This window comes from Homo sapiens, chromosome X (genome assembly GCF_000001405.40).
Source record: "Homo sapiens chromosome X, GRCh38.p14 Primary Assembly".
Taxonomy (NCBI): Eukaryota; Metazoa; Chordata; class Mammalia; order Primates; family Hominidae; genus Homo; species Homo sapiens.
Window position 1 is genome coordinate 40,647,958 of NC_000023.11, and position 27,840 is coordinate 40,675,797.

The 27,840-nt window shown below is 39.5% G+C and overlaps 1 protein-coding gene across 9 annotated transcripts in view; it reads right to left on the minus strand.

Annotated features, from left to right (window-relative positions):
* MED14 (mediator complex subunit 14) overlaps positions 348-27,840 on the minus strand; it is an 87,855-nt gene continuing 60,362 nt past the window's right edge. For 3 of the 9 annotated variants that reach the window (XM_047442636.1, XM_047442643.1, NM_004229.4), the window contains 10 exons: positions 27,264-27,404; positions 23,904-24,015; positions 18,763-18,894; positions 16,350-16,532; positions 14,968-15,203; positions 11,471-11,650; positions 11,270-11,377; positions 6,978-7,103; positions 6,407-6,599; positions 348-3,922 (listed from right to left, as the gene is read on the minus strand). In XM_047442636.1, coding sequence (XP_047298592.1) covers positions 3,849-3,922; positions 6,407-6,599; positions 6,978-7,103; positions 11,270-11,377; positions 11,471-11,650; positions 14,968-15,203; positions 16,350-16,532; positions 18,763-18,894; positions 23,904-24,015; positions 27,264-27,404 — 1,485 coding nt within the window. In that variant the 3' untranslated portion in view covers positions 348-3,848. The remainder of the gene's footprint in view (positions 3,923-6,406; positions 6,600-6,977; positions 7,104-11,269; positions 11,378-11,470; positions 11,651-14,967; positions 15,204-16,349; positions 16,533-18,762; positions 18,895-23,903; positions 24,016-27,263; positions 27,405-27,840) is intronic. The other 6 variants (XM_047442637.1, XM_047442639.1, XM_047442638.1 and 3 more) reach the window with 3 other exon arrangements.

The window sequence follows — 27,840 nt, forward strand, 5'->3', positions numbered from 1 at the left end:
AGCCCACAGACCAGCTGTAGCAAATTGAGGTATTAGTGAAACGTGACCGCTGGCTGCCTGCGGTGTGCCAAGCTAACCCAAAACTCAAAATCCCCCGCCACTGGACCACCCAGAAGGGGGCGTTTGCCTGTTTAGGGCAACACATCACTTGGATTCTAGAAGGCTGCACACCTGAGCCAGATAAGGGCATCCTGAAGCACCTAGCAAAGGTTAGACGATAATTATCTAGTATTCTTGATTATATGATAATTAGTGCTCCTTGCACATGGAAGTCTGATTTAAGTTCCAAAGAAGTGCCACAAAGGTCAGAAGGCACTGGGATTGTCAACTCCAAGTGACAAGTCAGGTCAGTTTTAGTTGTTTTTAATGAGCTTTCTGAGCTTGGAAAACATGTCAAAATTGTGTGTAGTTAAAAGCCTCTGAGGAAAGAGTCTAAACATTAAACCTTCCCGACTGTGGTTCACAGCAAAAATGTCCAGTGTTTAGGAGCACTAGCTCAGACTCAAACTGCCCCTTCTTAGCAGTTTGATCTTAAGCAACCTTAATTTGATCTCAGGCAAATTACATTTCTCTGGGCCTCCATTTACTCATTTTTAAGAAGAGGATATCAATAACCTACCACATTGGGTTGTTGTGAGGATTAAATACACATTGAAATATTAAGAAAATGCCTAGCACACAGTAAGCTCTCAGTAAATACTTGCTATTATTTTATATTGACCTAAATATGCCCTTTCATCAATCAGTTATATTCTTGGGCAAGGTATTTTAACAAATCACTGGCCACTTGGAAGTGGAGGCAACTTGCAGAAAATTGTGAGCATACCATGGAGTTCCTGGAGTTGTGCAGCACAGTGCTGGCTGGCCTCTGCTAACTTTGTCTTAATAACCTCAATGCTAAATCCATCCTAAGTAAATTTAAATCACATCCTTAGACACACTGTCCATTCTCAAACCGAATGAAAAAAAAATTCCACAAGAAACAATGAAATACACATTAACATTTTCCCTCTATGTCCCTTGAATGTAAGTTCTCTTAAAATTTTCTGTATACTGATTTTATATCAAGAACACTTGGATGATAAATAAACATTAAGGTAAAATGTAATAGGCACTTCTTTTGGGGGGAAAAACTATGAAAGGAACAACTTTTTATATTGAAATTGCATCAGAATCCAGGGTAGCAAAGTTATAACTTCTTGAAGTTATCAAATTAACCACAGTCCAAAGAATGGCTGTTAGTATCCTTTGGCTGAACAGATTACTGTGTTAATTAGAACACAGTTATTAGTGGTTCTTAAATTCAAAGTCATATAAATTTTAGTTTATGCTTGCACTTAACTCACTCAGTTAATTTTCAAACATAAGGTTCGACTCCTGTTATTAGCGACTTGACACGTTCTGCTGAAGCTCTCACTTTTCTTCTAATTCTGAAAGTACTTTTATACATTCTGAAATGGCATTTCAGCAGATGGAAAAATGAAGGTGGCAAATCAGGACCAATTTCTTATTTCAAGGTTAAATTAATACTAAACCAGACTATTAATGAAAACATCTTCATCAAAATTAACTAGAGAGTTGGTAGTTCTCTGAAACTTTGTATAAATTTTATTTATTACTGTAAATACTAAAATCACATTGAAAACACCTTAAAGTTAAGTCCCAACCCGATTATTAGAGAAAATCACTTGGGCATCCAGTCCCCTTGATCGAACCTGGGTAACAAAAGAGGCAAAAGACATGATTTGTGATGAAACTTACTATTCAAATGCTAAATGTTTTCAAGCTTTAATAAGGTATATATCAATTCCAAGTACCAAGCATAATATAAAAATTCAAATTCATGGGTTTACTCTTAATAAGCATCAAAAGCAAATTTTGCGCACTGAATCCTATCTTACTCTTGATTGGCACAATGCATTCAGAGATGAGTTATAATTAGGAAAAAAGAGTGTCCACTGAATGCATCATGTGTAAAAATGCAATTAACATTTCAAAACCACATTAAAAGGGAAAATACCTAAAAAGTTAACTCTTAATAAAATTATTTGAAACAATATTATCCTGCAGATAAAAATACATTTCTTGTATATACATGTAGATTTCTACATGAAAGAAAAGATTCAGCTCCAAATAGAAAAGGGCTGACCCTTGATAAAGACATCTTAGATTGCCAAACTGATGTGATTACCACTGTAAGAACTAAAAACAGAAGGATAAAAAGATTAAGTTAAAGGAAGGATAAAAGTTTAGTCAACTGCTCCTGAACAGTGGCAGAGTTGGGTGAGAAGTGGGAGATGAAGGCAGAAATAAGACAAAGAAGAAAGGCAAAGAAGGCTTCAACTCTGATTGAAAATGAGTGGAGAATCAAACAAAGTTGAGAACAGATATGATATAGGTACAGTGAGATACTTGAAACTAGAATTTGATAGTTGATAGTTATAGAAGCTCAATTAAATCATCTTGAAGTGGAATTAGACAAAGCATCTACATTTTAATGGAGAACCAGTATTACAGTGACCAGGTAACTCGGCATGGTATTATCACTTAAAAATTTTTCCTAAATACCATGAAGTCGGTAGAAGACCTTTGCATCAGACCATGTTCTTTGAAGCTTAAAAAAGTCCCTGACTGACTAGGAAAGACAGCACAGTGCTCCAAAAAGAAACCCTGCAGAGATGTATTAATACCAAAAACTCCATTTGACCCTGGACAGGCCCAGGATTCGGGATTCTTCACAATGAGGGGAATGGACCAGGTTTCTTCCAAGCAAAACATTCTATCGTTTTGTTGACAATGAATTAAATTGAAATTGTTTAGAACAATCCCAATTTTGGTGGGGAAGGAAAGGAGGATAAGTTAAGCAAGATAAAGAAAGCTCACAGAAACTTCATGCAGAGGTACAGCATTAAAGTTCTTTGTTTCCTAATTAATGTTGTATGCAGAAGTATTCTGTAAACTAAATTTTCCTGACAGAAAAGTTCCCACATCCTCAACAGATGAGAATGATTGCATTATTTGGGATCCTTGATCAATACGAACCACATACTGTCCCTTCTCAAAGACTAAGTTCCTTATTTTTCACCCAAATCCTATATATTGAAAGACAACCAAGGTGCTAAATGTTAACCACTAGTCAAGTTAGGAATGTCTGAAGAAAATATATTAACCTTGACATAAAGAAGATGTTTTTGGTCAAATTTCAGACATGTATTATTATAAATTAATAACTGGCTCCATCCACCAGGTTAAAGATGAAGGGAGGGCCTAAGATGTCTCTAGAGTTTATATACACACAAGTGAGTGTCACTGTTTTGTTTTGTTTTTGACCTAGTTTTATTAAATATTGCTTCCTTGGGGTGTGTTTATAACAACTCCCAGAACATTTCATGTAAGGATTCAAAGCGGTCATATTAAAATACAGCTTCAATATAAAGTTTATCACAGTTTTACAGTATTCAAAAATGACAGACCTGCCTTAAAAAACAAAACAAAAACCAAAAAAGGACTATTACACCCAAAACATAAGAAAACAATTAAATAAACAAGTTTGGCATTTTCATAACTTTATAGTATAAAACAGAATATTAAATTTATTACTGGCAAACGGACACTGATTTATTTCCTTTGAAATGTGTCCCATTTAAACACACTATACAAGTTCATTATACAAAAGATGGATGATCATTTTGATGAAAGAAGTGCACCCTGAAAATTTTTGCCAGTTTAGAATATTTAGCTCTTAAAGTTTAAAAAAAAAGTCCTTTTCCTTTTTTAAACTGAAGGCTGAATTCAGATTTTTTTTGTTGTCTCATCTGTCAGCCTTCCTGGTTTAAAAACAATAGTGTCTATGGACGCCCACCAGGGGGCAGTGTAAGATTAGCCATTAAATCACGAACAGCTGCAAATATTGTGCATTCACCTGCAACAGAGAAAAATGGTCATTAGCTATTCACAACACAGGAAAGATGTTAACACACCGGTAAGGGAAGGGGTAATTAAATCTAAAATTAGTGAGAACTTTAAAGATCAAAATAAAAGACAATTTTAACTGCCCAGATTATTGGGGATTAAGCTGTGGTGTTAAGTATCAGATTATATTTGGTTTGGATTTTTTTTCTCAGGAGGAAACTTCAAGCAAGTCCCAGTTAGGTTTGTATTTAGGAAGATATGTCTAGAGTTTCTGTTTAGAAACACTGTAGCATTAGATAAGCCTTTGAAGTTGGGCTTTAAGGCTACTGAGTGCTTATAAGGGCATTTTGGATATCATAAAAACATCTAGTTTATATTTATGCATTAGTTACAACTTTGGTGGTATCTTTCAAACGTTGCATTAAAGGCCAGATAAAAATGTTTAGGACAGCGCTGTCCAATAGAACTTTTTGTGATGATGGAAATGTTGTATAAGTGTGCCATGGCTATTAAGCACTTGTAATATAGCTAGTGTGACTGAGGAACTGAATTTAAAGTTTTATTTAATTTTCATTAACTTAAATTTAAATAGCCACATGCTGGCTAGTGGCAGTTATACTGGACAGTGCATGTCTCTGACATCTATTGGAGTTTTCTCCCAAAATTCAAGGAAATGGTCAACTTCCAGAGTTCAACATTAAAATCAATTAAATACAAAAATGATTTTCTTAAAAGCACTTCATCAGAAGAGAAGTGATGGGTGTGGGAGGTGGGGTGGGAGACTGAAGTATGGTACACCAACAATCCAAAAACAGGATTTGTGGGTGGGGAGGGTGCTGGCGATTCATCCTGTCAACTTCTCCTTTGCTCAAAGAAACCAAATACTCTGCTTCTTGTAATTATTACAAGTATTTAAATATTATAAACCAAAAGCTGGATCCCTTCCTCTACAGCATGGTCTAACACTGTATACAGTGGCTGAAAGTGGGAGAACTGAAGACCTCATGTGAACCATGGCCTTTCAGCAAAGGGCAGGATGTGCAGTGATCCTGTGCACATGAGAAGGTACAGAAAGAAAAAGGAAATCCAAAGGTCTGCCCAGTCCAAGGGGGGAAAAAAATGAAAACACTTCCAAAATATCTCAACAATTTCTGAAAAGGAGAAGTATTGTTTTTTAAAAAACACATTTTCATTATTGATAGGCAAGAAAACTTGCTTGATCCCAATAGGATCAAAACATTTTCCTTTTAATTTTAAATTCCACAAGACATAATACATAAAAACACATAAGATAATGACAGCCATCTGCTTGTGAAGGAATGGTGTTTATTATCAAGGTTCTACTGGACTGTTACTTTGAGAATTCTGATAGCTTTAAACTTTGATTCTTGAGGACCTATTTTTAGCTGAAAGAAGAGAGAAGTCAAAGGATGAAAGCAGAAAATTGTAAGAAGTAGAAGAAGTATTACAACAAAAGAAGCACACCCTTCTCTACTGCCCAGTGTATTCCTTATACATTAAAGTGAGAACTCGCCTGCATATCCAATGTGGGGAAACAAATAGCTAAATATATCATTTCTCTCCTGATTCCTAGTTCTAGAAAACTTTGGACACTGTAGTACCTAAAAATGTTTCAGAGAACAACTTTCCCTCATTTAAAAACATAATTGTTATTTAACTATTCTAAACAGAGAGAGATACAGAGAACTTCCTTAATATTAGAAATAAGCAAATTTTAAATTTCCTTAATATTAGAAATGAGCAAAATGGAAGAAAAGTTCTCTTTGCTGAGCTTTGTATTTTGCAACCCCAAATTTAGCACTGCCAGGAGTTACGTGTTAAGTGAAGTCTACTCCAGTATTGCAGGGACCTTGTTTATCTTTCCAGAAACATTCTGGTTTCCTCGGAAATGTTCAGTTTGAGAGCTTCATTGTGCACATGGTGAAAAGGTTCACTTGCACCCACCTGACACTTATATAAGAAGCCCAAAAAAGCAGTAATGCCATTTGTATCAGCTTTTATTCTTCACAAAACATTTAGAAGATACAGAACTTTTAATAATATTCTTCTATTCGTGATTGAACCATGAAATATGAGAAACCAACATGCATTTCAACTTTGTGATGTACAGAGTGGCAGGTATTGATGGTAGGGCAGGAATTCACAGCCGTGGAAAATTCTATCATCCTAACCTAGGTCTTTGTGGCAATGTGTGCTATAAATACAAGCTTCTGGCATTAGCAACTGGGTCAGTCCCAATAGTAAATCACTAACAAAAAGTCCAGGCAGCAGAGAAATGGACAAAAATGAAGAACCAGTGAGAAAGGAAGAAAGCGACAGGCAGACATTAAGAGGGCCACGGCAACCAGACCTCTATTGCTATGATTGGGTGGTAGAGTAGGTAAGGAGGGAGAAGAGAAGAGGAGAAAGGGGTGTCTCTCAAAAGAACTTTTATAACATATATGCAATAAAATATTGTCTACTGGTCATGTACCTTGTCGTGGTGGATTCATCTCTGCAAACCTCTTCAGAATGTTGCTGACCATCATGGGAGCAGCAACAGAAGAGTTCTGCTGTCTGGGAATGTCTGCCTGCTGGGTTGTACCTGAAGCCATGTCATAAATGATTGGAACTATAATACTAACAGGTTCTTGGGGAGGGACCGATGTTTTCTGAGTTAGTTGAAGCTGTATACACACAACACACACAAAGAGAATAAAAACATCATAAAACATCTGTCTAAATGTATCAAAGGTACTATCATTTACTGTACTTTCAGATTAAGATAAGCAAGCAAAAGAAAATTACACATGACAAGAAAAGTGACAAACAACTGAATATTATGGTTAAGATGCAACTGTGCTACACAATTACCTGGTTCAATAAATTTCTGTTTTATTACTAAAGGAACCAGGATGTCATGACATCTACGCTGACAATTAAGGAATCCTGGCCTCTATTTGGCAACAAGAGATAATTTATGCAGTTATCCAAAAGTTGCTCTATTATCATGTGGCATTTCCCTCAGAAGCTCTGTACATGCACACATGCTGGGTGGTACTTACAAAAAATAGCATTTTGGATTTCAGCACCACAGCAGGCGTCCCAGGAGGTGCAATCGGCGGCGCGCTGGGAGGGATCGTCAGGCAAAACTGAACATTCCATTTTAGCTGTGTTGCTTGGTCAGGGAACTATTTTGAGGGGGAAAAATCAAGATAAAGGCATATAAACATTTAAAATCATATTCTAGGTAGGAAAGTCTGAGAGGTTAGAATTTTGTTTCATACCCAATTATTAACAGAACATAAAGTTAATAACTGCACTTTTTCAAAACAAATACATACATGAAGTTGCTAACTGAAAAGTCAACTGTGGACTTATGTAAGATTTTCCCCTTCCTTCCCTCCCACTTCGTTAATTCCTAAGGCCTATGGATTCGGCTTCTGCAGGGTCTCTGACATCTGTTCCCTCCTCTCTATATTCATTGAGGCCACCATGTGCAGGGCTTTATTACTTCTCCTGTGCTCCCCTAACAGCTCTTTCCAGTGGCTGCCTCTTCCAGTCCATCCTCATACCACCATCAGATATAGGTCCTACAACATGGTTCCAGTCAAGCTCACAAATGTTCAGTGACATTTAGTGACACATGCTATCCCCCTACCACCCACAACTGAGGACCAACACCTAGCATTCAAGGCCCTTCTTAACTGTGCCAATCTAGACTTCCCAGTCCTGTTTCCAACTCTTTGCCTAAACAAACTAGTCAAACTGTGTGAAAGATTTTTAAATTATATCCATTGGTGCTTTTTTAGCCACATAAATATTTACTCCTTTAAAAATTCAAATGGATTTCTTTTTGACATAAATAATGTTTCCTACAGCCTATTAGATCAGAAGCCAAATGTTGAGACTATTAGCAAAAGAACACTGTTGCCCCAATATTTATAGTAAAACGCTAACTAAAAAAAGAGTGAGGTAATTGAAGTTACTCAAATCAACACTAGAAACATTAAAATGAAAAGATCACCGTAAGACTGAAAAAAATACATCAGCTGCCATCTGGATTCCATCTATATAACTACATACTTTCACAGTATATATCTCCCCATACAGAGAAGATTGATTATATGATAAATGAGCATCTGAAAAAGTTGGATCCATACCTCCTCATATTTGACACCAAAACAAAGTGAGACCCTGTCTCAAAATAAATAAATAAAAATATATTTAAAATTTTAAATAATTAAAAAAAGGAATCCAAATGGTATTAGAAAAAAAACTTTGGGAGGATTATTTCAAAATCTGGGAGTGAGAAGAATCTAACAATGATACAAAATCAGGAAAACTTAAAAACCAATATTGATACATTTCACTATTTAAAAGAAAATTTTGCATAGCTAAACCTACCAAAAGTCAAGTCAAAACACAAATGAAAAACGCGGAAAAAATATTTACAATGAATATCCCAAGGGGCTAACTTCGCTAATGTACATACCCAATTCCTACAAATCAAAAGACCTAAAAATCTACAAATTAGAAAGACCCAAAGTCTAAACGCTGATAAAACTGTTGACAAGGATGTGGGAAAAAGCCAGTACTCTCATTGCTGGTGGGAATATAAACTGGCATAACCTCTATGGAGAACAATTTGGCAAAATCTACCAAAATTACAATTACATATATCCTCCGACCCAGCAATTCTACAGGTATACTGGCACATCCATAAAAAGGCTCTTTATTGTGGCACTGTTTGTAACAGCAAAATATCAGAAGAAACCAAAATGGCCAACAAGTTGGGACTACTCAGCAATTTTAATACATTCATCTAATGAAATACTAAGCTTTGTTAAACAACACAAAACAAAGACATCCTTTATATACTTATATGGAAACATCTCCAAGATTTGTTCAGTGAATAAAGCAAGATGCTCCTCCATTTCGAGCAATATGCCAGGTTAGATATCCTGGAAATCACATCCACCACAAACACTAAAAATACTGGGGGTGGAAAGGCATCTTTTTATTTTTTATTTTTTGAGACGGAGTCTTGCTCTGTCAGCCAGGCTGGAGTGCAATGGTGTGATCTCGGCTCACTGCAGCCTTTGCCTTCTGGGTTCGAGCGATTCTCCTGCCTCAGCCTCCTGTGCAGCTGGGATTACAGGTGCCCATCACCACACCTGGCTAATTCTTTGTATTTTTAGTAGAGATGGAGTTTCACCATGTTGGCCAGGATGGTCTCAAACTCCCAACCTCACGTGATCCACCTGCCTTGGCCTCCTAAAGTGCTGGGATTACAGGCATGAGCCCCCATGCCCAGCCAAAAGCCATCTTTTTAAATGCTATTATGCATTGAATTGCGCACCTGAAGAAGACATGAAGTCCTAACCCCCAGCACCCATGAATATGATCTTATCTGAAAACCAGGTCTTTGGAGACGTAATCAAATTAAGAGGAGGTCATTAGAATGGTCCCTAATCCAATATGACTGTTGTCCTTTATAAGAAGAGAAGAGACACAGGCAGAGACACACACAGAGAGAACACCATGTGACGACAGAGGCAGAGGTTGCAGTAGCTAAGGAATACCAAAGACCGCTGGAACCACCTGAAGCTAAGAGAAACGCATGGAATAGATTCAACCCTAGGGTCTTCAGAGAGCATGGCCCCACTGACCCCTTGATTTAGGATTTCTGGTCTCCAGAACCGTGAGAGAATAAACTCCTATTGTTTTAAGCCACTCAGCTTGCCATAATTTGTTGTGGCAGCCCTAAAAAACGAACACGAATGCAGACTGAGCTATGCAGAAACTAAGGGAAATCCCCCAAGGGCCAACAACAAACCAAGAACAGATATTCAGTGCTCTGAAGGCAGCTGCTGCCCACGGAGCATCTTGCTGTCTCTTACTTTGCACTTCAGATTGACTGACTGATTGATTTTTTTGGAGATGTAGTCTCACTCGGTCGTCCAGGTTGGAGTGCAGTGGCATGATCTCGGCTCACTGCAACCTCTGCCTCCTGGGTTCAAGCAGTTCTCCTGCCTCAGCCTCCCAAGTAGTTGGGACTACAGGCATGTGCCACCATGCCTGGCTAATTTTTTTGTATTTTTAGTAGAGACGAGGTTTCACCATGTTGCCCAAGCTGGTCTGGAACTCCTGAGCTCAGGCAATCGGCCCGCCTCAGCCTTCCAAAGTGCTAGGATTACAGGTGTGAGCCACCGTGCACGGCCTTTTTTTGTGTGTGTGTGAGACAGTCTCACTCCATCACCCAAGCTGGAGTGCAGTGGCATGATCTCGGCTCACTGCAACCTCCGCCTCCCGGGTTCAAGCGATTTTTCTGCCTCAGCCTCCCGAGTAGCTGGGACTACAGGCTGTGCCGCCATGCCTAGCTAATTTTTTAGTATTTTTAGTAGAGACAGGGTTTCACCACATTGCCCAGGCTGGTCTCGAGCTCCTGAGCTCAGGCAATCTGCCTGCCTCAGCCCCCCAAAGTACTAGGATTACAGGTATGAGCCACCGCACCCGGCCTGCACTTCAGTTTTAATAGCTATTCAGGACACAAAGTCTAGGACCAACAAAGCTGAGGAGTCAGATTTTTAAAAATTATATGTTATAAATTTATACATAAACCATCTCATAATAAAAATGGAAAAAAGTACAAAACAGGATGTGTAAATATCATTTCATTTAAAATATTTATAAGAAGGCCACGCACAGTGGCTCACACCTGTAATCCCAGCACTTTGGGAGGCCAAGGTGGGTGGATCACTTGAGACCTGAAGTCTGAGACCAGCCTGAGCAACACGGTGAAACTCCGTCTCTACCAAAAAAAAAAAAAAAAAAAAAAAAAAAAGCCAGGCGCGGTGGCGTGCACCTGTAGTCCCAACTACTCAGGAGGCTGAGGTGGGAGAATCACCTGAGCCCCAGAGGTCGAGGGTGCAGTGAACTGAGATCTCATCACTGCACTCCAGCCTGGGTATCGGAGTGAGACCGTGTCTCAATCAATCAAAAGTTTATGAGAGCAATGTTATTTGCTTTTATGAATGGACCATCTCTGGAAGGAGAGGCAAGCCATGGTAACTCTGGTTGGCCAGAAGACAGTTGGACAGGGATAGAGGGGACAGGGATAGCTAGACAGGAACTGATGGGAAATTTCTCACTATATTATCTTGTTTTAAATTCAAAAGATAAAACAGAATTGTGTTACCTATTCAAAGATAAATAAAATTTAAGTTAAAAATTAAGAATTTAAGAGAAAAATAGAAGAAACTACATAGATGGGTGAAAACCAATAAACACTGCTCCCACCAACTCTAACCTCCTCAAACAAACCTTGCTAGAAATGTATATCTCTGTGACTTACCAGCTCCAGCTTCATAATGTGCACACAATCCCTGAGGATGTGTGTAGGAGCTCCTAATAGCTTGGTGAAGGCTATTAACGTATTAGCTTTAAATGGTGGTCCTGCAACCTACAGGGATAAATAAAGCAAGTTACTCTTCATTCTACATTAATGCTTCTGTTTCATTAATTATATTCAAATTATGCACTATTAAACACATACTCTTGTTTCAAAGAATTTCTCCAAAACTTGAAGTTCATCAGGTTTCCACTGTCCTGCATTTTCAGGTGTCACTTTTAGCTGAAGCGTTTGGTTGGTTTTGGGACTAAGAGCTACTCTGCATTTCAGTGCATCAGTCTTAAACATGATCACTCCGGGTTCATTAGAATTTATCAGCTGCAGCTACAAAACAAGGACACATCAAATTAACATGTAAGTCAAAGAGAAAATGAAGATGTTACTGAGAATTGTTCCAAAAGGAAAACCACTAAGTTGATACCTATTCCAAAACAAAGGCACCTACAGCATTGAGCATCAGCTGCTGGCAACACTGCAAAAAGAGATGCGATCAGACATTATGTGCCTCTTGATGGAAGAACATAACTCTACCTATGAAGTATTCTTGCAAAACAACATAAAAAAACTTGAGCCTGAATTCATGCAGTAGTTTGATCCAGAGGACTGACCAATGTGATAGAAAACATAGGGATCAAAAAAATACTAAGTGATTCCGAATTGCATAAGGATGAAGAAGGAGAACTAGATGGGGGAACCAAAAGTTGTAAGGGGACTTAGAAAAACTTATTTCGGTTCTGATTCAAAGTGTAAAAAATGAGACAACCTGGGAAATCTGGGTATCAACTAGATATGTGATACAGAAATTATTTTTTTTAGGTATGAGAATGGTGCAGGTTGTGTTTTTTGTTTTGTTTTGTTTTAAGAGTCTATACTTTTTAGAGACATATGCAAAAATTTTTATGCAAGAAATTATGTCTGAGATTTGCTGTGAAAATCTGGGGGGAGGAGTTCTAGATGAAACAATACTGATATTAGTTAACTGTTGGAGGTGGGTGATGAGAGTACAGAAGTTCATTATACCATTCTACTTCTGTATATGCTGAACATTTTCCACAATATCTTTTTTTAAAGTGGCACATTAGAAAAAAAGAAGACAGAGTACAATTACAAAAGGTTAGATCTGGATTAGGCTCTTATTCTAGCCCCGGGGGTCGACAAACTTTTTCTGTAAAGTGTTATATAGAAAAAGTTGCAGGTTTTATGCACTATATGGTCTCTGTCACAATTATTCAATGTTGTCATCACAGCTGAAAGCAGCTATAGACAATAAATAAATGAACAGGTGTGGCTGTGTTCCAATAAAACTTTATTTACAAAAACAGGTGGTAAGGACATAGCACCAGGGGCCGTAGTTTACTGACCCGTTTTAGCAGAGTATGTTGATTATGCAGCTGAGCAAAATGAGGCCAAAGAGCTGAAAGCTTACATAGATGGTAAGTGGCATAGCTGAGGCTAGATCCCGGGTCTGATGATTACCATTTTGAGTGCTAATTTTAGTTTATTTTATTATTTTTCTTTCTTTTGAATGCTAATTTATTCAAAAACGTTTCCCCACCAAATCTTAGTATGAAGGTTGCAAAATGGCTTTACACTAAACATGGAGTGAATATTTTAAACATTCACCATTTTTAATTCTTTTTTTATTTTTTGAGACGGAGTCTCGCTCTGTTGCCCAGGCTGGAGTGCAGTGTCACCATCTCGGCTCACTGCAACCTCTACCTCCCAGGTTCAAGCGATTCTCCTGCCTCAGTCTCCCGAGTAGCTGGAATTACAGGCATGTGCCACCACACCCAGATAATTTTTGTTTTTTGTTTGTTTTGAGAGTCTCGCTCTGTCTGCTCAGGCTGGAGTGCAGTGGCACGATCTCGGCTCACTGCAACCTCTGCCTCCCGGGTTCAAATGATTCTCATGCTTCAGCCACCTAAGTAGCTGGGATTACAGGCGTGCACCATCACACCCAGCTAATTTTTGTGTTTCCAGTAGAGATGGGGTTTCACCATGTTGGCCAGGCTGGTCTCGAACTCCTGGGCTCAAGTGATCCGCCTGCCTCAGCCTCCCAAAGTACTGGGATTACAGGCATGAGCCACCACGCCTGGCCTTGTATTTTCAGTAGAGATAGGGTGTCGCCATGTTGGCCAGGCTGGTCTCAAACTCCTGACCTCAAGTGATCCGCCCGCCTCAGTCTCCCAAAGTGCTGGGATTACAGGCATGAGCCACTGTGCCCGGCCTAAACATTCACCATTTTGACTACCTCATTAGCACATGCATCTACCAATAATAACAGTAATTATAAATAATGAAAATGCCTAGACAGTATATTAAGGGCTTTACATGAACTATCTCAAATTCACACAACTGTTATCAGTTAGGTAAATACTATTATCTGAAGAAATTTGCCTAAGCACACATTAGCAGGTAGTATGGCTGGCTACAAACCCAGGCAGCCTGACTGTAGAACTGGTGCTCTCAATTATAAATTATCTCCTAAGGCTATCAGCATAGGATAAGTTAGAAGTCTCTTTTCTTCTTTTTTTTTTAGAAGTCTTTTTTCTACGAGAGTTTTTAAAAATTCAATTGTTCATTTATTTATTTATTTATGAAACACAGTCTCACTCTGTTGCCCAGGCTGGAGTGCAGTGGCGCGATCTTGGCTCACTGCAACCTCTGCCTCCCAGGTTCAAGCAATTCTCCTGCCTCAACCTCCCATATAGCTGGGATTATAGGTGCGCACCACCATGCCTGGCTAATTTTTGTATTTTTTAGTAGACGACGGGGTTTCATCATGTTGCCCAGGCTGGTCTTGAACTCCTGACCTCAAGAGATCTGCCCACCTCAGCCTCTCAAAGTGCTGGGATTATAGGCGTGAGCCACCGTGCCCGTCCTGTTCACATATTTAAAAAGAAGCTTTTGTCCTTGTAACCATAAATAATTTTCTTCAAATTTTTTTTCTCTTTTTATTTTTTTAGAGACAGGGTCTCACTCGATCACCCAGGACAGAGTGCAGCAGCATGATCACAGCTCACTGTAACCTGGAACTCCTGGTCTCAAGCAATCCTCCTGCCTCAACCTCCCAAGTAGCTAGGACTACAGGTGCATGCCTGCTAATTTTTTAAATTTTTTGTAGAGAGAGGGTCTTGCTATATTGCCTAGGGTGGTCTGGAACTCTTGGGCTCAGTGATCCTCCTGCCTCAGCCTTCCAAAGTGCTGGGATTACAGGTATAAGCCACCACACCCAGCCAATTATTTTATTTCAATAAAGACTCAGAGTCAAAATCAGCCTCCCCGCACGGGCACTCCAGAAGGCAAATAATTACTGGTATGCTATTCTCTGCAAGGCCAGATCCTGTGCGCAGTGCTCCTGTGTGCTGCAGAAATCTATCTCCAGGTCCATGTTAGCCATATAACATAGAAGCCACAGCACAGCAAACTGTATAATGCAGAAATATGTTAACATAAGAATGGAAAAGAAAATAATGGAGTCCATTTTTAATGCCAGGTTAGGGTGAAAATCATAATTCTAACAAGCTTGTTAAAGGAGGGAAGGTGAAGGAATGTCACGTTAGTTCAGATCCTATCCTGCAGGACAATTTAGCATTTTACCCTTAACAATCACCACTTAGAAGGTCATTAGGTACCCATACCGTTTCTTGTTGAATAATTCTTTGAAGATGTCGTCTCATGATGACTGATCCAAGGAATCTCTCAAGTGGAGAACAAAGGTAACTACCTGCCAGGCCGGGCACAAGGCCTGGAGTTGGAGAGGGCAGCAGTAAAATGTTCAAGGCACTGTGAGTGAGGATGGTAGGTATGGATGCCGCCCAAGAGCGCTGAGGTAGTTTACGAGGTGGAGGCATGTTTGTTGGCATTGTTTGAGAACCTTTTGGGAAGGAAAACATGTTATGTCATTTACAAATACATACTATCTCATTGCTTCCTGTTTTGCTTTCATCATAAATCTTTGATGTTCTAAATCATTCTGTACTGTTTTAGTTACTCCTTGTGGTGTAACAATCATATATTAACAACCTGTTAGCAAAAATGGCCACTATTTTTCTCCTTCTTATATCCAGGCCCCTTGCAATGTGACTTTGCAGCAACTCCTTTAAGGGGTGGACTCTATTTCTCCACCTGAAACCTGGCTGGCCTAGTATTTGCTTCTGACCAACAGAATGTGGTGGAAGTGACACTGGGCTAGTTGTAGGCCTCAGCTTCTACTCCCTGCCTTAAAATCCTGTTGAGCCACCATGTGAACAAACCTCAGATCAAGTGTGAAACCACACAAAGCAGAGAGAAACCTTGCCATCTGAGGCCATCTAGTCCCAAACCAACCCAGCAGCTGACTACAGACACATGAGTGAGCTGCCCAGCAGAGTCTGAAAGAATCACTCAGCTGTGCTTAGTCTAAACTGCCAACCTGCAGAATTGTGAACCAATATATAACAATCATATATTGTTTTAAGCCACTAAATGTAGCAAAAGCTAACCAATAAATGTGTACAATTCTCTTCTCTGTTATTATGTGTGATATTGTGAAATATATATTTGGTCTTTGTCCTAGCTCCTGGCATACAAATCCTAAAATTTTTGGACTCTTCAAAGTGGTTAAGTGTCCTTTTGTATGCTAATGAGATGGCTGATGGCTGGCAGCCCCTAGGTAGCTTCAGGAAGGGGGCTGATCACAGGAAAGACACGGCACAATTAGAGGGTTGGTAGTTTCAGCCCCACCCCCAAAGTTGATCACCAGTGGCCAGTGATTTAATCAATAATGCCTACGTGATGAAACTTCCATAAAAACCCAAAAGGACAGAGTTTGGAGAACTTCCAGATAGGCAAACATGTGAAGGCTCACAGAGGGCATGGAAACTGCACTCCCCTTATGCATCTCTTCATCTGCATCCTTTGTAATATCCTTTAAGTATCCTCTCTCAAAAAGTAGGTCATGACTTTCAAATGTGAGGATGCAACAAGATAGGTCACTTTGGGTTATACTAAAAAAGAACATAAAAATGTTGATGATACTTACTTGTTCCAGCTCGAGGGGAATGAGAAGCATCTGGAACCGGAGAATGTAGTGAGGGGTTGGCTGGTGACATTCCAGGCATGCGTGCTGCTGGTGAGGGGCCAGACACTTGAGGAGATCCTGGCCAGTTCCCTGCTCGTCCACTTGGTGACACCATAGTGTATGGGGAACTAGGGTCAAGAGTTCCTATAAAAAAGGTAAACAAATGATTCTCAAAACCTATATTTTAATAACTGAAAATTATTTGACAGCATTCAAATCTTTACACAGTAATAATTTTATTTTTTCTTCCAATAAGATGTTTCACTGAAGCTTGATGTGTGTTAACATGTCATGCCTGAATCTCTATTTTGTGTAAGGTACTTTTTAACATGATACAAAAATTAGAAAAATATAAAGCTTGAGAGAGGATAAAATTTACCTTCACACAAGCTTCAATGTATGTAATATGTAACAATGTATGCTACTATATGCATTAAAATATTAAGCAAACAATCTCAGAGTTCCTTTAAAGGCAGAAATATTATATTTTTAAACCAACTTTGACAAACCATATTTTCATTCTACTCTAAGTAGAATGAGGAGAAGGAAATTTTCCATATTCTTTATTTAGACTACGTTGACTAAGAAATGAACCAAGACTCAAGTTTTGAAAGCAGTGACTTCCTGAACAATTTGATATTTAAATTTCACCCTCCATTGGTATCTACGAAGATATTCAAAAATAAAAAATAAATAAATTTCATCCTCCAGATACCTTCAACATATTATTTATATCCCTCTGTAACCAAATGACAAACTGAAAAAATACTTTTACCATGTATATGTCAGAGAGTAAATGGTCTTTACTTAGGTCTTACAAATGGGCAAGAAAAAACACAAGAACATAGGCAAAGCATATATAACTGGGAGGTATAAAATAAGAAACACCAAAGACCGGCTAGGCACGGTGGCTCACACTTGTAATCCCAGCACTTTGGAAGGCTGAGGTGGGTGGATTGCTTGAGTCCAGGAGTTCGAGACCAGCCTGGGCAACACGGCAAAACCCCATCTCTACAAAAAAATACAAAAACTAGCCAGGCGTGGTTGTGCACATCTGTAGTCCCAGCTACTTTGCTGGGGAGGAGGTTGAGGCAGGAGGATCACTTGAACTTGAGAAGCCGAGGTTGCAGTGCACTGAGACTGCACCACTGCACTCCAGCCTGGGTAACAGAGTGAGACTCTGTCTCAAAAAAAACAAAACAAAACAAAAAAACCAAAGACCAACCAAAAAAGGTTCAATTTTCTTCACTAATAAAGAAATACATTAAACAGTAAGATACCATTTTTCACCTATGAAAATGTCCAAGGTCTTTAAAATATGTAATACTCCCTGGCGATGATGCAGGATAACAGACATTCTTGTATGATGGCATGGGAAATGGTACAGCCTTTCAGATGAGCAGTTATATGTTTCGAAAGCTTTAGAATTTGTCAAATCCCTTGATACAACAATTCCACTTCTGGAACTTACTTAAGGAAATAATCATGGATATGAGCACAGATGGCACCATTTTTAATTGTGAAAAAATGGAAACATTCTAAACATGTAACAATAGGAGAGCAGTTAAGTCATGGTATGCCCAGACAAGCGGATATTATTACACCATATGGTATGATGATGTGGAGTTTTTAATGACGGAAATGTTCCCACAAATATTAATAGTAAAAACTAAAATCCCAGATGCTACACAGCTTAAAAACTGAGGAACCTGTTTATGTTCTATGGTATCATACTCATGATATATTAAGTGAAAAAAGGCACTGAACACTGTAAAGTATGCTGTTGTGTGTGTAAAGGAGAGGGGAAAGAACACTTGCATGTATTTGCTTGTGTATGCATAAAACAGCTCTGCAAGAATATCTACATGTTTCTGGGAAGAGGAACTAGGTGGTTAGTGGAATAAAAAGGAAACCTTTCATTGACTACTTGTTCTATTTTTTATCTAGTTGAATCAATTCAAAATAAAATTTTGAGTTCAAAAGTTAAAAAATTCAAGTCTCAAAACAATTCATATGTTAGGGTACCCATTGTTGGGGGGCAAGGGCAGGTATTTGAGGGGGGAGACAAGCAGCTTGGTAGACAGCAAGTGAGAATAACAGAAACGTGAGAGGGCAGGCAAGCAGGGCATGTGTGACAGGAAGGGCAAGGCAGAGCAACGGAGACAGCAAGGGAGAGTCCAAGGCAGAGACAAACTCACTGGTCGTTACCTCTGTGTGGTGGGATTAGATAAATTTGATTTTCTTTTTGCTTGAGCAATATTTTTGCTACTTCCTCAATAAACAAGTATTAATTTTGCAATGAAAAAATTTACTCAACAAAAATTATTTTCACATCAAGCTCTTATGCTATATCGATTTCCATGTATGGACTCACCATGTGGACTAGCAAAACTGGCCCCTGGTCCTATTGAGATTCCATGCGAGGATGGGGGAGGAGTTGGAACAAATGACGCTGGTGATGGGGCTCTCAAAGCCCCACTGGGGGAGCTGGCAGCATGCAGATTTCCTAATAAAGGAAAATAATTATAGATAATCTTGCAGGACACATTTTATGTCCTGTCCAAGGACCCCAAGTTAAAAATCTCCCTATAAATTAAAGAAACAAGTAGTATAGCTCCCATATATATAACACAGAGAAAAACTGGCACGATTTCATTATTGAAAGAGACTATTCAATTCCATGCGCCCAAATTCTAGCTCTTATATTGACTGATTAAAAAAAAAAATCCGGTGTACTTTTTATTCAGTTCCTCATTCATTCAACAAGAAGGCCTGAATGCCAACTTCATGCCAAGCACTGTTTCAGGCATTGGGGATGCAGCAGTTAACAAAAGAGACAAAAATTCCTGCCCTCACAAAGCTTATATTCTAATAGAATGAGAAAGACAAGTATCTGTCAGGTAAGTGCTATGGAAAAAAACACAACAGGGTAAGGGGACAAGATTGTGTAGTGAAGGAGGTGGGTGTTGTTCCTTATATACAGCAATCAGAAAAGACCTCTCTAAGGAAGGGGGCATGTGAGCTGAGACGTGAAGAAAGTGAAGGATAAGGCATGAGGATACCCAGGGGATGAGATATTCCAGCCAAACAGAGAGCTAGTGCAAATGCCCCAAAGGTGGAAGCAGTTATCAGGGAGGAAGCCGGTGTGGCAAGAACAGAGTGAACGAGGGGGGCAGTGGGAAGAGAGGACACCAGAGAGGTTGGAGGAAGAGGGGTGGGTCCCAGATCACATGGGGACTTGTGGGCCACTCTAAGAACTTAGGGTTTACCCTGAATGAGTGGGAATCCAATGCAGAGTTTGGAGCGGAAATCATGGACGAACTTCTGTCCCAGAAGGATCATTCTAGCTGCTGTGGGACAGACTATAGAGCAAGGGTAGGGGTAGGGACAGGAAAACCAGTTAGAAACAACTGCAATAATTCAGGTGAGAGAGGACTAGTGGCTTGGTAAAGGTGACAGACTATGGTAGTGAAAAGTGGTTGGATTCTGGGTAAATTCTGAAAATCAAGCTGATAGTATTTGGTAAATGACCGAACATGGGTATGAAAGAGACGTCCAGCATGACTCGAAGAGCTTCGGCCCAAGTAGCAGGAAGGAAGGGCCTGCCATTTACTGAGCTGGGGTGTCTGTGGGAAGAGGAGCACTGGGGCAGTGAAGAGATCCAGAGTTTAGTTTTGGCCATGCTGAGTTGCAGATATCTACCAGACATTACATGGAAATGATGCCGAATAGACAGCTAGAAAATACAATACTAAGGCTGGGTGTGGTGGCTCACGCCTGTAATCCCAGCACTTTGGGAGGGCGAAGTGGGCGGTTCACCTGAGGTCAGGAGTTTGAGACTAGCCTGGCCAACATGGCAAAACCCCGTCTCTACTAAAAATACAAACATTAGCCAGGCACAGTGGCATGTGCCTGTAATCCCAGCTACTCAGGAGGCTGAGGCAGGAGAATCACTTGAACCCAGAAGGCGGAGGTTGCAGCAAGCTGAGATCACGCCATGGCACTCCAGCCTGTACGACAGAGCAAGACTCTGTCTCCAAAAAAAAAAAAAAAAAAAAAATCAAAGAAAAAAGAAAATACAATACTAGACTTATGGAGAGACTGAGATTGGAGATATAAAAAACAGTGAAACGTTAACTTATTTAAAGGCACAGGACTAGTTTTAATTTAGGATTATGAAAGTGTGAACTATGGCTACCAAAACTATGAATAAATGCAACATTTAAGCACTTGCTACATTATCATAATTACCTTTAATATCAGCATGTTTCAAATTCTCTACTATAGCAGTCCCCGCCTTATCCACAGGGGATAGGTTCCAAGACCCCCAGTGGATGCCTGAAACCTCAGATAGTATTGAAACCTGTTTTTTTCCTATACACATATATGATAAAGTTTAATTCACAAATTAAGCACAGTAAAAAATTAACATTAACAGTAAAATAGAACACTCTTAGCAGTAGATTGTAATAAAAGTTATGTGAATATGGTATCTCTCTGTCTCTAAATATCTTATTGTACTATACTTGCCCATTTTTGGTCCTCAGTTGACCTCAGGCCAACTAAAACCTTGGAGAGCAATAAGAGGGGGGACTGTACTATGTGAGATAATTTCATATTTTTGTGTTCTGTAATACCTAAAGCACTGTCTTACTTTCAATCAGTATGTTGATCAACTTGACTAACCTTTAAGTGTTTATGTTTACTTATTTAGCTGTATGATCTGGACAAGTGACCTAACTTCCCCATGTCTCAGTTTTCCTCCATAAAATGTGAATAATAATAGGACCTACACCACAGGTTTGCTGTGAGGATTAAACGGGTAAAGTGCTTAGAATAGGGCTTGGCACATAGTAAGCACTATATGCTTGTCTACCACTATTATAATTATTTCAAAATATTTTTCCCTTCCTACTATATAAAAACAATGTCAACTCCTATCCTAGAAACACACTCCCCTGGGGTTCTACAATCCTGTTTCTCCTGTTTTGTCTACTTCCTCCCTAGCTGCTACTTCCCCACTGACCACTGGTATTCCTAGGGGTGGACTCAACCACCCACTTGGGCTTCAATGACCCTAGACATGACAACAACAACTTCCAAGTCTTCATCTGTGGTCCAACCATCTCTGATGAGCCATAGGCTCATACAGCCAACTGCCTACTGGACATCTTGACTTAGTAATCTCTGGGGACTTGCAAAATCAACAGGTTCAAGAGAACTCCCCCCTCCTTTCTCTGTGAAATCTGCCCGTCCACCACTCGTCACTTTCAGTTGTACAAATTTAACCCAGACTAAAATCCAACAATGGCTTCCTATTTACCCATACAATAAAGGCCAAAATTGTTAACAGCGCCCTGTCTCTCCATACACCAGCCATTTGGAAGAGTCTACCATCTTCTGGAAGTTCAGACTCCACACACCCTGCACAGTCTGCCTGAGATATCCTCCTTGTCCATGTCCCTGCACCTGGGTAACTCTTGACCTTTCAAGTCTCAGCTTAACCAGTGTCGAAAGGAGGGAGGCAAACAACGCATCCTCAAGAAAGAAACAATCGAACCCCCCTTATCGAATGCTCTTTCAGAAGCCCAAGTGACCCTTTTTGTAACACTCATCATACTTGGCATTACAGATGAAGACTGTTTATCTAGGAATCTAAGCAGAGGAAGCACAACCCACCCCCCAAATAAAAGTGAATTTAAAGATTTTTAAAATGAGGATCTATTTTTTTAAAACGACACCACTGAAGTAATGTGAAGAGCAATATGAGTGGCTAAGTGTGAGACATGGTGGGGGTGGGATCTGCCAGGGTGTGAGTGCCTAGGCAGTGTGGGATGTCGAGCAGCCCAATCTGGGCAACAAGACAGATTACAATGGACTGGTCAAAGAGGCATTTGTCATGTACCACGCCCCAGGCTAAACACTTTATGTGAACTATTTCATTCGATTCTCACAACATCTCTATGGAAAAGGTTTTATATTATTCTCATTTTACAAATGGAATTAGCTATTGAATAAGTGATGTCACTACATCTCCCACCTGCAGATTAACAGATTCTCTGGTCAATACAAATTTCTCATATATAGACACACATATACATATCTATAAGAATTTTTGTATTTTATAAAGGAGAGGCCGGGCGCGGTGGCTCACGCCTGTAATCCCAGCACTTTGGGAGGCCGAGGCGGGTGGATCATGAGGTCAGGAGATCGAGACCATCCTGGCTAACAAGGTGAAACCCCGTCTCTACTAAAAATACAAAAAATTAGCCGGGCGCGGTAGCGGGCGCCTGTAGTCCCAGCTACTCGGGAGGCTGAGGCAGGAGAATGGCGTGAACCCGGGAAGCGGAGCTTGCAGTGAGCCGAGATTGCGCCACTGCAGTCCACAGTCCGGCCTGGGCGACAGAGCGAGACTCTGTCTCAAAAAAAAAAAAAAATAAAAAAAATAAAGGAGAACAGTATGCACTGCAAATTCTGCTTTTCAAAGTGAAAACTTAAAAGCAGATGTATTTGTTGGGTTTGCTACTTAAAAAATTAACGTAGTTTTGTTTGCCCTGTTTTCTGATAAGCCCGAATGCCTTCAATTGGTACAAAACTACTTAATGTATTCTTTAGTTCAGTGGACTGATATATTTACACTAGATAAAAGGTTTTATTACACATGCTTTTAAAAATCATTTAATTTCTTATATTTTACAACCTATATTACATATCACATCTTTTATGCTAAAACTTTCTTTGAAAAAAACATCATTATGCTCTGGAAATATTACTAGGACCTAGTAGGCAACGGGTCATTCTCCCCAATAAATCTGATGACCTAGCTTCCTCGCTAGATGATAAGCTCAAGAGCAGGGCTGGTATCCGGTTCACTGCTAAATCTTCAGCACCAGGCAGCATTTGGCACAGAGTAAGTGCTCAAGAGATACCACTGAATCATTCAGTTAAAAGCAAAAATTTGGCATTCTCAAGCACTTTTACGGTGCACTTCATAGGGCTGCCAACAAAGCCATTATGTCTGGACAAGCAGACTATGCACTGCCTAACTCTGGAGCTTGGGGGCAGGCCACCCTTCACCTATTCCGTGGCTTAGCAAACTTTTTCTGTAAAGGGCTGTCGTAGTGGGAAAGCAGCCATAGACATTATATAAACAAGTGTGGCTTCATTCCAATGAAACTTTATTTACAAAAACAGGTGACAGGCAGGATTTGGCTCATAGGCCTTAGAGTCTGTCAACCTGTAACATAGATCATGTTGTGATTAGCACCCCCTGGAGTTGTGCTGTGAGTCTGGCTCTGGGTGACATTAATTTAAACCTTTTAAAGTGCTCCCAAGCCTGGACACAGATTTCACAAACCTTCCATAATAAATGAGTGACAACTATCTAGCCATAGACTAGAAAGGGAATTCTCTCTGAAGCCTGAGACTAGATGCACAGTGCTTCTCAATGTGGGGTGTGTGTGTGTATTTTGGATTTGAAAGTTGAACATGACAAGAGAATAAGTAATATCTTACCTGGAGACTGTGTGTGCATCATTGAGGGAGACTGATTGACTGTGCTATGATAAGATGTAGGGGGTGAAGTAAGAGGATAAGCACCTGATGTTCCTGGCTGCTTTGGAAATGGCTGAAAAGAAGAAAATTAAATGTTGGTAAAATGGCCAACCGCACGGAGCATAAGAGTGTGGCTTTCACTAATTATAGCTACAGTGTTAATATTTACACACTTTGCTGGTTACCAAATAGGAAACATGAGATATAAAAGTGTGCAAAATAAATACACATCACCAGCACAAGTCTTTATAAACCCCGACTTTCGAAATGTTTTAAAATAGCAACATCCTCTTTCCCGATCTTGCAATGCTTTCTATCCCTCAAGATGTTTTTTGCTCATTTTCTATCTAGCATATAACCGATTTATCTCTATTATTTATCTACCATTTCATTGATTCTAAGACATTTTCCCCCCACACTTTAATATCTCTAAAATCAGGGTGTGTCTTTCCATTTATGGGATGTTAGTTTAACTGGCAGTGTTTTTTCTTTCTGAGCGGTAGATAAAAACTGATGCATCTTACATTTGGTGGCATTTAGTATCAATGAAATATGGTAGCTCAGCCTGACCTTTACTCATCTTTATCACTATCACAAGGTAGTTGTAACATTTTACATATTTTCTAGTGGCAAACGAGAGTTTCAGTTGTTCCTAATATCAAATGTTGGAAATAATTATCAATTTTTTTCTTAAAACCATTTTTGTGGGTGTGGAGTGTTATCTCATTGTAGCTTTAATTTGTATTTCTGTGATGGCAAATAATGTTTGAATACCTTTTCGGTGCTTATTGGCCACTTGGACATCCTATTATGTGAAATGACTTGAATCTTTTACCTACTTTTAAAACCAGATTGTCTACTTTTTTTTTTTATTGATTCTTTCTAAGCTATCTTAAAGAAATTATAGAATTCAGGCTAACTCATAAGGTACAAAATCATATATTTGCCCATACTGTTTTATCCAATAATGCAGAATGTACCTTTATGTTTGGAGATGTAAGCCATACTAACTTGTTAATTAAAACTATGATATTCATAAGCTTTTCTATTTTCTTCCTTTCCTTTCTCATAGACTAGCTTATGCACTAAAACTGCATTTTATATAAAAGAAGAAAAGCTACCTGCTAACATCAAGTAAAATGTACATGAATCCCTTTATGAACATTTTTTTCTCACAACTGTCTTATCAGGGAGACAAATAGTTTACAAATAGAAGCATAGCACAGATATCTGATAAACAGAAAAAAACTGAAAACTGAAACTGCTCAATCAAAGGCTCAATCTTTAGGAGGTACATAAAGCCAAAGCCACCAACTAAAGACATTTAACCATGGCAGATGAATATTCTTTTAAAAGGATTCTGACTTGGTATTAAGTGTCAAACTTTTTAACTTAAAAACAAACAAACAAAAAAGCTCTACCTACAGGTTGAATAGAGAGCAAGAAAAGGCAGAAAATTCCTCAAGTTTTCCCAAAGTGACAAATCATTCTAACTTTTCTAGAATATCCTAACCTTTGGCCAATCTACCCACTTCTAATCCTTCTGCCTTAGCCTGCAACTATTTTCCTACTTAGAAATCTCATGTTCAGTATGAAATGTTACTGGGTGTATATTGCTCTTAGCCAAATCAGAATATCTAATAAACTAGCGCTGCAGGCTCTCACTGTGTCAAATTATGATTTTTTTCAGTAACAAAAGCACTTTGGCAGGCCAAGGCGGGCAGATTACCTGAGGTCGGGAGTTCGAGATCAGCCTGACCAACATGGAGAAACCCCCTCTCTACTAAAAATACAAAATTAGCCAGGCATGGTGATGCATGCCTGTAGTCCCAGCTACTCAGGAGGCTGAGGCAGAAGAATCACTTGAACCTGGGAGGCGGAGGCTGTGGTGAGCTGAGATCACGCCATTGCACTCCAGCCTGGGCAACAAGAGCGAAACTCCATCTCAAAAAAAAAAAAAAAAATCATTATAGAGGGGCCAATGAACAACTTATTTTGGGAGAGGGAGAGAATAATGGACCACATTCTCCCTCCATTCCCCCTATAACATTGGCCCTGCTACGGCCATGGTCATCAGCCAGCCCAACTCAGTTACTTCTTTCCCCCAAAGGATGTGGCTCATCCCCTGCTCCATATCAGGTACAGGAAAGATTGAAAATGCAAGAAAGTGGCTTCCACAAGAAAAAAGCTGCTCTGATATCCGCTGGGCCAAGGTACTTCTCTCCCATGGTGGCCCAGCATCTTCAAAGGGCTAGTATCTCATCTGAGTCAATGTCTGTCACAAGAGCCCCGCACCTCGGCTACACAGAGACATTCGCATAGGCCTTTACTGAGCTTCCCTGTTCTACATGAAGGCCAAGAAGGGAAACAGTGACAAGGCAAGTAACCCTAAATAGCTGCCAGGAACAATACAGCTTCCACAAAACCCTCCTTCTAGTAAGAATCTAGTACTTTTTCAAAGATTTAAGCACTGGAAAGTTGTAGTCACTAAGTAGCCAGACCAGAAGCTAAGCAATAAAATAAGCTAAGAGGATTCTCTGCACAATGCTGGTTTCAAGCAATGTTATTCATGAAAGCTTCTGGATGAGAAGCAGTGAGCTATTTCGTAAACCAAAACTAAAGGATGTGCCAAAGAGCCTTGCCTACAGGCTGTGTGCTCATATACAACTAAAAATGAAGCCCCTGAAGACTCCGGCCCAGAGTCTACAGCCCCATTGAGGATTTTCCAGACTAGGGAGTCACAAAGGACTGTTGAAGGGCTAAACAATCACTGTTCACCTTCTATTTCAGGAGGGTCAGTGAGAGAACAATGGCTAGCCTAGGGGCCTGTTCAACTCTCAGACATGTGAAGGTGACAGGACAGAACTGAAAGCTCTTATGGTTCTATAATGTGGCTTATCCAAATGGTCTTGAGGACAGAACCCTGAAAATTTGTCCACCTGTTCTCTGTAGGAGTCCCTACTGAACATCGCTAGACATTTAGTCTACTGTGCTCTACTTTAATAGCATCTGTCCTTCAAGACAAGGTAAGGAAACTCTCTCAAAGATCTCAGATCCTGCGGATGGTATTTCCATCTCTGGAATCATATAACATCATTTTAAGTGTGTGAATGACCTGAGATTAATGCTGTTTCCAACACTATTCATTTCTTGTCACTGGAAGTCTCCTCGCCTCCTTCTGTAACTCTTTATTTCATAAGTATTTCCTGGGCATCTCAGGCCCACCAAGGACCTCCTTGTCTTTCAATGAAGTCTTGACACCTATAGAACCTGTGAAGTTACAGAAATGTGATACCACTTGGAATTCTGGCTAGATATTACCTGTTGCTGGGGTGGTGGCTGGAGCTGCGATATTAAAGAATCCATCATATCTCCTCCTATAGGAGAAGGGGGATTATCGTCCTCATTTACAGACCTTCTTCGAGCATCCTGATTGCTGTCAACAAACATATTCAGGAACGTCTACGGATATAAACAGGTAAAATTTAGATTATTTTACCTAACATTATTAGTAAAATATTTTAAATTATTTAGAATATTTAAACAGAAACACAGTATGTTGATCCTTGAAGATCGTTACTAGGACAACCTAGAAGAAATATTGTTAATTTTGAAGCGGGAAACTGAGGAAAACAGTTAACAAAAACAGCATCTAAAAAAAGTCATATTGACTAAGAAATATTGTGTGAGCAAAAAGTTGAAGAAAGAAGTACATCCTGGCACCTCTTACCATCAGATCATAATATTTTCTTATTAACTTCTAATCCAGAAATGGGGGTAAAAAATGAAAAGCATATTGGCCATAACTTCAATGACTTGGAAAATTTCCCAGCTAGTGAGCCATCTCACTTTTTAAACTAGAAAATATGAAAGGAAAACTGAGTAAGAAACGATCCAA